Genomic DNA, 13886 nt, shown 5'->3' on the forward strand with positions numbered 1-13886 from the left:
TCGTCCACCTGTGGCTACGCCCTCTGGAAGTCACACAGCCTCTAAGGTCACTGCGGCAGAGGTAGTCGGGGGGAGGGCACAGGCTGGACCACCTCCCAGGGGGCTCGCTCATTTCTTCTCCCGTGTCATTGGCTGGAGATGGTCACATGGCCCCAACCTGACTGCCAGGAGCACTGGGAAATGAGGCTAAGCACTGTCAGGGAGACACCCAAGGGTGTGGGTTTCGGGGCCGAGCAGAAGTCAGCCCCCATGCAGTTAGCAAATGTCTTTATTGCACAGGACAACTTCTAAGTAATAGCCCTCATGGAGGGGATAAAAGACCTGCCATGTGACAGGTGTGGGAAGGGGACTCAAAGATGAACCAGAATCCCTTCACACCCACTAGGGTGGCTAACATTAAAAATCAGACAATTCCAAGTGTTGCCAAGGAAGCAGAGAACTTGGAACCTCTCACACTGCTGGTGGAAAGGGTTCAGCTGCTGTGCAAAACGGGCTGGAAATTCCTCAGTAAGTTATACCTAAGTTACCGCATGACCCAGCAAGTCCACTTATGGGTATATACCCAAGAGAAACAAAAACATACATCCACAGTACATGGATTCACAGCAGCATTACTCATCGTAGCCAAAAAGTGCTCATCGGCTGCTGAAGAAACAAATTGTGGTCCAACCTTACAATGGAATATTCTTTGACCACCAAAAGGAACGAAGCCCTTGACACCTCTGACAGCATGGACGAACCTTGAAAACATGATGCTAAGTGAAAGAGGCCAGTTGCAAAAGACCACGTAGCGTACAATTCCATTCACATGAAATGCCCAGAACAGGCAAATCCATGGAGACAGAAATAGATGAGTTGTTGCCAGGGGCTGGGGGAGGGCGCATGGCGAGTGACTGCTAAGGCTAGGGGATTCTTTGGGAGAGGATGAAAACGTGCAGGAATTAGATAGTGGTAATGCTTGCACAACTTAGGGAATATACTACAATGCATTAAATTGTACACTTTAAAAGAGTAAATGTTATTATCAGTTTCTAAAAATGAACCAGAAGCTCACATAGCCTGCACTGGTCAGGGAGACTGATGCTCACTCAGGTGATCTGGAAGGCGTGGCCCGTGCAGGGGAAGGACAGTGCACACTCCAGCATGCCCACGTGGTGCCACGTCCCATTTTACAGACATGAGAAGTGAGGCTTGGCGAGGGCCACCGTCAGAAAGGACCGGAGGCAATCAAACAGCAGAAGCGCTTCTACACACTAACAGCAAGCTACCTGGAAAAGAAATCAAGAAAACAATCCCACTAACAATAGCATCAAAAATTAAAAGCAGAATAAACTACTTAGGAAAAAAATTGAACCAAGGAGGTGAAAAACTTGTGAAAAACTTAGGAACAAATTAAACCAAGGTGGTGAAAAGCTTGTGCACTAAAAACCATAAAACACCAGTACAAGAATTTGAAGAAGACACAAATCGACGGAAAGATACCCTGTGTTCCTGGATTAGAAGAATTTATATTATTAAGATGTCCATACTACCTAAAGTGATCTACAGATTTAATGCAAGGTCTATCAAAATTTCAATGATGTTTTTCACAGAAATAGAAAAAAAAATCCTAAAATTTGTATGGAACTACAAAAGGCCTGAAATAGCCAAAGCCATTTTGAGCAAAAAGAAAAAAGCTGGAAGCGTCACACTCCCTGACTTCACAATGCGTTACAAAGTTACAGTAATCCAAATAGCACAGTACTGGCATAAAAACAGACACAGACCCATGGAACAGAATAGAGCCCAGAAATAAATCCATACATGTACGGTCAATTGATTTTCAATAAAGCTGTCAAGAAGACACAATGGAGAAAAGAGAATATCTCCCATAAATATTGTTGGGAAACTGAATATCCACATGCAGAAGAATGCAATTAGATTCTTACACCCTCTACAAAATCCAGCTCAGAGTGGATTAAAGACAAACGTAAGACCTGAATCTGTAAAAACACCAAAAGAAAACATAGTGAAAAACTATGCATCAGTTTGAGCAATGCTGTTTTGCAGATGATCCCAAAAGTACATGCAACAAACGCAAAAATAGACAAACAGGATGTCAAACCAAGAGACCCTTGCACAGCCAGAGAAACAATCAGTGGAGTGAAGAGATGGCCCACAGAATAGGAGAAAAGATTCATGAAGCATACCTCTGACAAGGGTTCACATCCAGAATACGTAAGAAACCCAGCTCCATAGCCAGAAAACAGGTGACTCGATTAAAAAACGGGCAAAGGAGCCAAGTAGACATTTCTCAAAGGGAGACACACAAATGGCCAACAGGTATGTGGAAAACATGCTCACCATCTCGAATCATCAGGGAAATGCTCATTGAAGCCACAGTGAGACATGGCCTCACACCTGTTAGAATGGCTATTGTCAAAATAACAGAGCTGACCAGTGCTGTGAAAGGTGGCTGGTCTCTGAGCCCACCCAGCCCTGGGTGATGACTGATGCTTGGACCTGGGAAGTAGTGAGAGGGGCCGGGAGGGAGTGAGAGGGGTGAGGAGGAAGCCCTCCTCTGCGCCGGGCACCTCACGCATTTGTCACGTCACGCAGACCCTGGAGGAGGATGCCCGTGGCCCACAAGGCTGGCTGCCTTTTGGCCCCTGCCCTCTCCAGCTATAGGTGCCCCCGACCCTGCATCCCTCACCCTACAACCCAGCACCACCTCCTGGGATATCCCTCCCTCAGGTAGGGGGTCTGATTCTCCTGTCCTGCCCTGTCTCATTCTCTTCTTGGTCTTCCGCCTCCAGGAGGCCTTCCCTGACCACCACTGGGGGATGGAGCCTCCTGGAGCACCCCTGCATTTCCCCAACTTGGCACACTCCGTAGCCTGTGTCTTTTACATTCCCGACTAAAACAAGAGCTCATGAAGGCCAGAGCCATGTCTCGGTCGCCTTTGTGTCCCTTCCATGGTTCTTGGTGAAAGTTCCCTTGTGGGTGATTATTCCCGTGGTACAAAGGAGGACACCGAGGCTCAGCGAGGCCAGGTGGCCTGCCCAGCCCCATGGCTCCAGAGGGTCCAAGCAGGACTCACACTGGTCCACCCAGCTCTCCCATCCCCCTCTGGTGGATCCCAGAGCCACCCCCCAACTCTCCCCTACTTCCGGTAGATCCCACCAGATCCCCCTCCCTCTCCCCACCCCTCTGGTGGATCCCAGCAGACCTTGCTCCCCTCCCCCCTAGTGGAGGACACCCCCTCACTCTCTCCACCAGAGGAGGGCCCTTCCTCCCCTTTCACCTGTAGCAGACCCTCTCCCCCACCCCCCATGGAGGACCCCTTCACTCTCCTCCTGGTAGAAGACCCCCCCAACACGTGGAGACCCCTCACTCCCCTCCTGGAGGAGGACCCCATCCCCCTTCCCTTTTGGCAGAGGAGCCTCCATGGAGGCCTCACTCACTGTCCCCTCTGTGCTTGCAGAGGCTCGCCGCCATCCAGCAGGTGCTGAACGCACAGAAGATCAGCTTCCTCCTGCGAGGCGGAGTCCGGGTCCTGGTGGCCCTGCGGGACACAGGCACAGGTGAGCCACTGGGAGCTCCCCTGCGGAATGGGTGGAGGAGGCATCCGGGCCCTGGAGAAGCCATGTCCCTGCAGGGCCCTCGGGCAGATGGCCCGTATCCCCCTCCTGGTGGGTGTTCGCCTCTGATGGAACTGAGAACCCACCCAGGTCAGACGCAGGACCGCGCTCTCCCTCTGCGGATGCCCCATGGAGCACTGCTCTTACCTGATACCCACGCTTCGGGTCTCGGATAATCTCTGCCCCTTCCCCAACCCACAGAGCTGTCTCCTCGGCTGTCAGTCATCCTTTCCCCTTTGGGGCAAAAGCCTTTGCAGAAGCCGATGAGTTTTGCTCTGCTCTGTAAAGACACCGTGCCCTTGAAACTCGGCAGGTTCGCCCCACACCAGCATCAACATAGCCGGGGAGCTCTGCCCACAGCCTCCATCCCCAGTGGGAGCCAGGTCAAGGGGCGGGGACCTCTCCAAGGCCACACAGGACGCACTCCTGGTCATTTATGGCCTCTGGCCCCTCTCAGCCACATCAGGAGCGCCGGCCACGGGCATGGAACAGCCTCCACACCAAGGAGGCTGTGGCAGGGACAGGCAGGGGATAGGCAGGGACAGGCAGGGGACGGGCAGGAACAGGTGGGGGACAGGAAGAGGTCAAGCCGGGAATGGGCTGGGGAAGGGCTGGGGAGGGAATGGGAATGGGCTGAAGACAGGCAGGAAATGGGCCAGGGACAGGCAGGGGACAAGCTGGGGATGGGCGGGGGACAGGCTGGGGACGGGTGGGGGACAGACGGGATGGGCTGGGGATGGGACAGGGATGGGCGGTGCCCGAGGTCCTCCACTGACAACCGCTTTGCTTGCAGGTGCTGAGCAGCTGGGCGGCGGTGGCGGCTACTGGGCGGTAGTGGTGCTGTTTGTCATCGGGCTCTTCGCAGCGGGAGCCTTCATCCTCTACAAGTTCAAAAGGCAAGGCCCTTGGCTGCCCTCCTCTGCGGGGCTCTGACCATGGGGCCGTAGGAAGCCAGGCCCAACTCACTCAGGCAGATCTAGAAAGGGCCCCAGCAGGGCCTCAGAAGGGAGTGGTGAGAGTTTGTGCCTGTGATGGGCTGCAGGGGGAGGTGCTTGCCTGGCTCTGTACCACCTGTGGGGTCCCTGGAAGAGACGGCCGCCACTCGCAACCCAGAGAGCATCACCCTCCCACTCCTCCACTCTCCCCAGGACATCCCAGCCATCATGCTGTTCAGCCCCACCCACCTCACAGGGAGGACACTGCCCATCTCACAGATGAGGAAACCAGGCTCAGAGAGGTTAAGCAGTGTGCCCAAGGTAACACAGACGGCCAGCCTCAGAACTGGGACCTGACCCAGGCCCGCCCACATCCCAGGGTTCCTCGGCCGCCCGCCCATCCCTTCCCTCCCCTCGAGAGCACTTGAGAGCTGCTGAGCTTCCTGCCAGGCGCTCCCGTGGGGAGGGCTCTGGGTGTCCCCGTGAGGGAGCTGCTTGTGCCGAGGCTGGGGTGAGGTGGCAAGAACAGTGTTTGTCTATTGGGAGGGGCTTTCATACCTCTCTTTCCTTCTGAGCCTGTTCCCTGGCTGTGAAATGGGTGTGATCCCCCGACGCTGGGACGCGTCATGGCCACCCTGCAGGGGCTGGACAACTTGAAGTTCCCTGGACGCTAGACCTGGAATGAGCAAAGTGACCCGGCCCCGGCAGCATCACCAGACTCCTTCCCTGCAAACGCAGCTCCCAGATTTGGCCCTATTGTTTCTCCCCTGCCTGCTGGTTCAGCTCCGGGGGCCCCAGTCTCCCCATCGGGGTCACCCTTGAGGATCATCAAATGCCACAGCTCACCCCTTCCTTTCGGCTTATTTGGAGCCTCGGGCCCTTCCCCGATGCCAAGCCCCAGCCTTTCATGGGCCCTGGACTCCCCCAACCCCTCCTCCTGCTCCCGGTCCCACTGTTTTATGCACTGCGGGTCTTTTGAGTAGTAGTTTCATGTGTGCCCCCGTTCCACAGGCTGGCCCAGGCTCTGGGACACAGCATTAATTGTCTGGGAGCGCGTCCAGGAGCTCCTTACCCACCTTGTTACTCAATTCCACCCAAAGGGTTGGCCTGAGGCACTCAGAGCTGAACTGGAGAATCTGGGAGGACTTCCCTGAGGAAGTGACTTCTGGTGGGGATCCTGAAGGATGAATAGGAGTCTGTGGGGCAAAGAAGTAAAATAGGGTCTGTCCTGTGGTCTTTCCCAAGTTCCAAACTCAGAGAGGCACTGGCTTCCGAACAGGTCTATCCAGGGGTTCCGTAGGCACTGCAAATTTAAATCAAACTCAGCATCTTCTTCCCCCAAAGCTGGTGCTGAGCAAATGACACTGTCCTCTACCAGGTGCCCAGGTCAGGAATCCCACCTCCTTCCTGTGTGCTCCCCCTCCAGCCTATATCCCATGGCCACTGCAACTGGGGTTTGTCACAGCTAGGAGGTGGCAGGGGCGGCCTTCGAGCCCAGGCTTTCAGGTCCTGAAACCAGGCACCCGACTGCCCTGGAAACAAAAGCAGCTTAAAGTTGGTGCTGACAAACCCCAGGGCTGTGACTCCAGTCTCTGGGAGCTTGAATGTATTGGGCATAGGCAGAAGTGCCCAATATACTTCAAGGCTCCATCTCACAGCAGAGCAACGCCCGTTTGTCCCCAGTGGCCTGAGGCTTTAGGCTCTGGTGCGGCCTGTGCCCTCGGGAGCTCCCGGCTTGCTCAAGGGCTGGGCTGGGCAGCACTGACAACCCAGTCAAAGCCCTCAGCCACATGCCCCTGGGGCCCGGCAGGGGCTTGGCCCTCGTCTCTCAAGGCTCTAGACTGAGGCAGCAGCGCTGCTTTGAGCATATAAATCCAGTGGTGAAGTGTTGCAGCTTATAGGTGATACTGGCCACCCTCTGTCACCCTCAGAGCTAGTCACAGGTCCCGCCCCACCCCATCCTGCCGTTAAAATGTTTCCAGAGGGCTGGCGATGTTCATCAGCTGCATCTGAGAAAGCCCCCCTCTCCCACTGAGTCTCAGTCCCCTCATCTGTGAAATGGGACCCTGACCCTGGGTTTTGATTGGACTAAGTGGGGTGTCGTGCATGAAGGAGCCTGGCCCAGGGCGGGTCCTGAGCCGGGTCCCAGTGGAGGCAGCGGGGCTGTGCCCACCCTCTCCCTTTCCTCGCTGGGAAATCGAGGACAGTACTCCCCCAGGACGCCTGGATGGGGCTCAGCAAGTGCCTCTCAGAGCTGGGCCGGCTCGTGCCTCCTGCGGGAATGTGTGCCCAGCCCAGTGGCAGGGTGGCCAGGCATGGGGGGTCGGGGGAAAGAGGATATCATGCCCTCTCCCCACCACATGCCCACGCTTCGATTCTCAGGGGAGATGACAGATACACAGTGATCACCCAATGTGTCAGGGCAGAGGGAATCCCAGGGCCAAGGGAGCATGCAGGAGGGAGGGCTTCCTGGAGGAAGTGGCTTTGAGCAGAGATGGGGCAGGAGGCAAAACTTGGGGCTGGGGTAGGCACCTCTGGAGTGCTGTGGGCACCGTGCACCACACTCGGTGTGGTCAGGCGGCCAGCGGAAGGCTCCAGGGACAGGCGGCCTGGGAAGCCCCTCCAAGCTGAGCCGCCCTTGCCTCTGTCCAGCAGGAAACGGCCAGGCAGGACCGTGTACGCCCAAATGCACAACGAGAAGGAGCAGGAGATGACCAGCCCTGTGAGTCACAGTGAGGACGTCCAGGGCGCTGTCCAGGGTGAGGAGTTTATAGATGATGATCTCGACTCGCAGACTCTAGGTAACGTCCGCCCCAAACCCACCCCGCCCTCCCACAGGCCACCCCGCTGGGCCGCTGGGGCCAGCAAAACGCTGGCCCAGCAGCCCTTGCCAGCGGGTCGGTCGGGCCCACTGTGTCCCCTCCATCTGATGAGGGGATGACGGGACCTGACAGGGCTGCCGGCAGAGATGAAATCTGAGACATGTGGACGCTGAGGGCCCCATCCCTGGCAATGACCAAAAGCCCCCGACAGCCCCATCAAGGCAGGGAAAGGACGGGAAACAGGGCTGGCTTTGAAAGGAAGCCTGACTCGGGCCTCAGGACGTGGGAGGCCTTTCCCCCACAGCCGCTCCCTCAACACTCCCAGTCCTCCACTTCACTGCAGTGGTGATCTAGGGAGCACGCCACACATGGACCTGCGGCACTGCACTTTACAGTTTATGAAGCATTTCCACTGATGGGATCCCCTTCGCTCCTGGTCATGCCCAGCAAGGAGAAGATCAGTCATCTACAGCTGCATGACAAACCGCCCACCTCAGCGGCGTAGCATCGTTTATGGCCGTTTTCTCTTCTGGTGTCTGGGAGCTGACTGGGCTCAGCCGGGCTGCTCGCTGTCAGGGTCTCTCATGAGGCTGCAGTCAATGGCTGGTGCAGCAGTCATCTCAAAGCTTGCCTCACTCAGATGGCCAGCAATTAATGCAGGCAGTCAGCTAACCCCTCACCTGGACCATCGACCGGGACACCTGCACATGGTCTCGCTGTGTGGCTTGGGCTTCCTCCCAGCATGGCGGCTGACTTCCAAGAGCATGTGGAGGGAGGTGGCCAGGCAGGAGCCACACCCCTTTCAGGGCCTGGCCTTGAAGTCATACGCTGTCACTTGTGTCTTGCCCTGTCCATGTTTGAGGGGAGGGGACACGGACTGCATCCCTCAGCCGCAGTCAGAGCATGATGCCATCCAGCGCAACAGGCACTATAGTTCTTTCTCTGGATGAGGGGGGAAACTGAGGCCCAGGAGGCTCTGAGACTTGCCAGAGGGCTGGGAGCCTGTGCTGCCAGGGCCGTGGCACCAGCCCTGCATGCCGTGTCGGGCAAGTGCCGCCGGCAGCCAGGCGGTGTGGGCACTTTCCATGCCTGTCTCAGCTCAGCAGCCGAGGAGGCAGGCTCTTCCCTAGAGCTGAGGACATGGAAGTGCAAAGACATGGACTGTCCTTGCCCAAGGTCACAGCTGGTGGTGAACGGAGCTGGAAGTCACATCTTGGCAGACCCCAGGGACCCGGCGTCTCCCCTACAGTTCCTGTTCTCTCTTAATCCCCATCTGGGCCTGATTTTATGGTGACGTCGGCACACACCTCTCACCGTTGCTGCGGGGTTCTGCGGTAGCTTCTGGAGCAGAGAACGGCACACAGGAAGCCACGGAGGTCTTGGCACCACCAGCTGCTGCCACTGCCGTTCTGATGATCCGGCTTCGAGCGTCACTCACACTCTGCATCCGGGACATCCTCAGAACGTGAGCGGCGGAAACCACTGTCCCCACTGTGCAAATTATTGAAAGTGAGGCTCAAAAAGGAGAAGTCGCTCACCCCGGCCAGCCAGACCCCAAAGCCTGTGACCTTCACACTGTCTTGAGAGGGGTCAGGGCAGCTGAATGGACTGGCCACGGTCCCTCTCTGCCTCCCCTGCGCGCTCTCCAGCCCCTCACCAGGCCTGTCTGCCCCACCCCCGGTGGGGGTCCCTTGTCTCCAGCATCGCCAGCCCAGGTGTGTTCCTCATGGCGTGATGCGTCTGTAGACTTGGAAACATCACAGGACCCAGGTACTTCACGGAGCGCTCGCTCTGTGTCAGCCCCAGCTCAGCGCCTCCCAGACACCGTCTGACTTCCCGGAGGCAGTCATCGACATTGCGCCCACTGCACAGATGAGAAAGCTGAGGGTCAGAGCTGTTACTCAACCTCCCCAGGTCACTTAGTGAAAAGAGGTGGAGCCGGGCTCAAGCCTGACTCAGTGGCTATACAGCTGTGTGCCCCCCGAAGGCCCCGGGCCGCGGGTGAGCGTCCTACAACTCTAAAGACCCCTCCACTGGTCTTGCTCCTGCTGGGGCAGGAGGTGGTTTTGGGGCTCCCTCTCCTGCAGGCGGCATCACCCCCATGCTCACCCCCAGGCCTTCTCGAGTGGACAGAGGTCACAGGGTCTCAGGAAGACAGGGCTCGGCTCCCCAGCCCCCGATGGCTTTTTGCTTCCAAGCCCCTAAAGAGTAATCCTAGTGGGGTAGTAAGATTCATGCAGCCAAGCCCTTGGTCCACGCCAGCCTTGCCAATGCAGCAGCCGCACTTCCCCGTCTGACCCACGCCAGTCCTTTGAGGGGTGCGGTTGACCCTCACGTTAGAGATGAAGAAGCCAAGGCCCAGCCAGGTGAAGGATGGGCGAGGACTCAGGCAAGGACTCAGGTGTGTCTGGGCTGTGCCGCGGGTGCTCCCAGCCGTGTCTCCCGGTGCCCTTGAGGCGGGGCAGCTCTGGGTCCTGGGTCCTCGACCTGTCTCCTTGACTCCTAACCAGCCCCCACCCGGGACACCCGGCTCACCCCTTGGCACTGACATCCCTATGCCCCCCTCTCTCCCACTCTCGCCTCCCGGGGCCTCGCCACTCTACGCCCTGCAGCGCCCACTGCCAGGAGGGGGCGGAGCCTCAGCCCCTCTCGCACCCCCTTGCTGCCGATGCCGGGGGCGATCCCCACGCAGGTCAGTGGCTGTGGCGGGTTGGGGCCGGCCTGGGCCTCACCTCTCAGGCCCTCTGGGGCCCACTGCTTGTGATGGCACCGGGAGAGCCCACTCCTCAGGCACCCACCTAGGAACCGCGGAGACCCCCTGCACCTGCACGGGCTGAAGGAAGCCAGGGAGGCCCACTGCACGTTGGCTCGAGGCACTGCCTGAGGCCACGACCGTGTCCCCTGTGGCCCTGTCTCCAGTCCCGGGCTTGTGCTCACGGGACCTGCGTCTCTTCTGTTTCCTAGGCAACCACTCAGGCGTGGTCCTGAGCATCAACTCCCGAGAGATGCACAGCTACCTGGTGAGCTGATGCCACCCCAGCATCTGTCTTTTCACCCACGGAGGGCACAGAACCACCAGCAAAGCCGGCGGCTGGACTGGCGCCCCTCAGAGACCTGCGGAAAGCCCCCTCCCTGAGTCGTCGCCACACCAGGCGACAGGCACCACCCCCTCTGATAAATCCAAGCCCGCCCAGGCCCACGGGGGGCCCACGGGACCCCCCGGGACTCCCCGGACATGGCCCTGCCCCTATGGGACACCAGGCCTGACTCAGGCAGGTTCTGCCCCCCAGACCCCACACACGGCCGCCCCACGTGCTGTCGCTCAGCCCGAGGCCTGACTTCTCTGGGCTGAGGCTGGTCGTCCTGGAGCCCTCCCAGTACCTCGGGCTGCAAGAGCTGCAGACCCGTTCAGACACTGCGTTGCGGGCTCCTTCCCCGCAGAGGCCGGGGCCTCCCTGACTTTGCTTCTTCACTCCCACCTGTGCGGCCACCCAGTCCCTCTGTGGGAGCCCGGGTGCCAGGCCCTCCCAACACCACACCACCCTCCAGGCCCCCCTGCCCTCCGGCTGGAAACTGCAGCTCTGTAAATGCCTCTCTAGGTAGCTGCTGGCGGTGGTGGGGGTGTCTCACTCTCTGTCTTTATAGCCGGCGGTAGCCACCGGGGTGGCTCTGTCAGAGTTCCGTACTCGGGAGCCCCTTTCCCTGAGTGCCCAGGGTGTCTCCTCTGCCCAGAGGGGCAGCAGCTCTCCCTGGTTCTCCCCAGGGCAGACGGGGTAGGGCGGGCTCAGGACCCAGTGCCCATGGTTCCTCACTCCTACCAGCAAGCAGCACCATCCCGCAGGCTTCTCCCACCTGATGGCTGTTCTCCCACCGGGTCTGGGCTCTGGAAGGAGCCAGATGCCCCCAGAAAGGTGGGTGGTGGAGACGGCACCAGATGTACCAGTTTTCTGCAGTTCCTTATAGGCGAAGGGAACCGGGTGGAAACCAAGCTGGGAGAGGCTGAGGATGGCAGGGCTGGAAGGGCCATCAGCGTGACCCTCATTTTCAAGAAGGGGAAACTGAGGCCCAGGGAGGAGAGTAACTGAAGGTCACAGCACGGTCACAGCAGAGGTGGCCGAACCCAGCCCTCTGCGCGCCAGTGCTGTGCGGTCTCCACACCCTTACGGTTTCCTAGAATCAGGGATGTTAGTGTAAGTCTATAGGAATATAGGGGGGTGGGGGGGTCACCTTTTGCCTTGAAATGGGAAGTCAGTAGCCCCTTCCTCCTCCTCCCTCCTCCCCCTCCTCTCTGGCAGGGATCTCAGATGACCGTGGCCTCCCTCTCAGAGGGGGAGAACGCCAGAGCCCTGGCTGGTGATGTGCTGGCTGGGGGTGAATCCCAATGAGGGTCCCTCTCAGAGCGGGAGAACGCCAGAGCCCTGGATGGTGATGCGCTGGCTGGGGGTGAATCCCAATGAGGGTCCCTCTCAGAAAGGGAGAACGCCAGAGCCCTGGCTGGTGACATGCTGGCTGGGGGTGAATCCGAATGACAGTGCAGACGTTCTCCCATCCACCATGTCTGAGCTTGGGGGAATTGCCTCATTTCCCCTGGAAAAGAAACATGGTCCATTAGAGGGGAAAGCCCAGGGGTGAATCTTCACGCCCCAAACAGTGCCCGGTGGGGAGGAGGCACCCGCTCCTTGTTGAGTAAAACCACCCATGGAGACTGGAACCTCATCTCCCTGGGTCGGGGGGTGTTCAAGGCCACAGGACAAGGGGAGCACCCTGGGCCACACAGGCGTGGAGGTGTCCCCACCCCTTCCACCTGTCCCCCAGACCCAAAGCTCTCTCCCCACCCTACCTGCCCACCTGGGGCTCCTGTGCCCCCTCCCCACTCCAGAGGCCACCCTACAAGTTGTCCTCAAGGTCATCCTGGAGATGGGATCCAGGACGTGGGGCCATGACTCTCTGGGACCTTGCCACAGCCCCCATTCCCCTGCTTGCAGTCTGCAAGGACACCTTTGCAGGGATTCTTGTCCTGCTGGCCACCCCACCCACACCTGTCCCTGGCCAGCAGGCCGCCTGCAAGCGTCAGGCACACAGGGACAGACATGGCGAGCACAGTGCAGGCCCGGGGCCCACGGGCAACATGGAACCCTGGGAACTGCCCTCCCCCTTAGCTCACAGTGCCTGCGGTAGCCACTCTAGGTCGTTGGCCTTCCTTGACCACTCCATTTAATTCTCTCTGCTGTTTGGGTTGGGTTTTTCCCCTTAGTTATCTGTGGGTTTCCTGTATTTTATGTTAATATTTCTATTAAGAACATGTTGGGCATGTGGACCCAAGCACCTGGGAAGGAGGTGGCATCTGAGACAGCCTGATACGTTCCCGTCTGTGCACCCATGGAGATCCAGGCGTGGGCCCGTGTCTGTCCCTGGTTGTAAATTCGAGGGTCTGCATATCTGATGTTCAGGTAGACCTGGGCGCCTGGGAACGAGGCCATCAGCTGCCATGCACATAACAAAGAGACAATGCATTCCTTCTTATTTTTCCTTTTTAAAAATCGATGAATCATTTGTGATGCTTTTAACAAAGATTAAATGAATTTGATCAGCTTTTGCCTTATTGTGAAGATACTTTCCTCCTTTCCTGAAATGCATGTGGGTGCACACACAGGCCCCTAGGATCGTGGTCCCAGAGGTGAGGTGGCTGAGGACCTCGTGCGAGGGACAAGGACCAGGCCCTACACGTTGGGACGTTGAGGAAGGCTGCACATGGCAGTGGCCTTCAAAGTAATGATCTCCCCGGTCGGCTCTCAAGCACTTTCACACATGTGGGCTCGTTCTGTCACTCAAGGCCAGCAGAAGGGGAACCAGAAGTGTCAGCCAATTTTCCAGAAGAGAAACAGAGACTCCCAGAGGCTGAGGGCCTGGAGGTGGTGCAGCACAGTCCCACATCTGATGGGGCTCCTTTATTTCTGAAAGGCCATTTGCTTTAGTCTTTGAGTTGACAGAAAGAGGCATGGACTTGTCTATCCCAATTGATGCTCCAGCCTCAAAAGCTGTGCATTCACTATAGCTAGCCACTGAGTGTCCACACCTTCTCTGAAACTTCAACTCTAATAGCTGGAAAAGAACACTCTTTCTTCTCACTCTCACATGGTTAGAGAGAGAGAGAGAGAGAGAGAGGTGGATGAACATACTTTACAGATGTGTTCACATTTGCTAAGTGGTCCCCAAGCCATTTCTGGAAAGAATGAGGTTGCAATTGCCTAGTGGCTGCTCAGGGGGAGAGAGCTGGCAAGGGGCTGACAGCAGACACCCTGGCATCCCAGTGAGCGTCTGCTGTGCCTGGAACTGTTGTCCCCAAATATGGTCAACTTGCGCGTGAAAGTATTTTAAGAGCTGTAATAAAACAAGGCATTCTTTTCACAGCATGGAGTGATGGCGATTCTGTTTTTGACTTGCACACAAGTCAGTGCAGGGTGGGGAGCAGGGAATTGCCCCCAGGTGTGACCGCTGAACCATGTCCA

The 13886-nt window shown here is 57.8% G+C and overlaps 1 protein-coding gene across 9 annotated transcripts in view, besides 1 other annotated feature; it reads left to right on the forward strand.

The window, feature by feature from the left end:
- Positions 1-12969, forward strand: part of SORCS2 (sortilin related VPS10 domain containing receptor 2) — a 550290-nt gene extending 537321 nt beyond the window's left edge. For 2 of the 9 annotated variants that reach the window (XM_011513516.3, XM_047416008.1), the window contains 4 exons: positions 3464-3563; positions 4414-4516; positions 7208-7314; positions 10342-12969. In XM_011513516.3, coding sequence (XP_011511818.1) covers positions 3464-3563; positions 4414-4516; positions 7208-7314; positions 10342-10406 — 375 coding nt within the window. In that variant the 3' untranslated portion in view covers positions 10407-12969. Of the gene's footprint in view, positions 1-3463; positions 3564-4413; positions 4517-7207; positions 7357-7509; positions 9148-9989; positions 10070-10341 lie in introns of those variants that run through there. The other 7 variants (XM_011513515.3, XM_047416006.1, XM_005247987.5 and 4 more) reach the window with 7 other exon arrangements.
- Positions 4356-5148: an enhancer, noted in NCBI's record as "H3K4me1 hESC enhancer chr4:7735941-7736733 (GRCh37/hg19 assembly coordinates)". NCBI's record gives its function as "activates a minimal SCP1, AML or CMV promoter by ChIP-STARR-seq in naive H9 embryonic stem cells {active_cell/tissue: H9 hESC(naive)}" and the evidence as "EXISTENCE:reporter gene assay evidence [ECO:0000049][PMID:30033119]".
- Positions 12970-13886: the final 917 nt, after the last annotated feature.

This window comes from Homo sapiens, chromosome 4 (genome assembly GCF_000001405.40).
Source record: "Homo sapiens chromosome 4, GRCh38.p14 Primary Assembly".
Classification (NCBI taxonomy): Eukaryota; Metazoa; Chordata; class Mammalia; order Primates; family Hominidae; genus Homo; species Homo sapiens.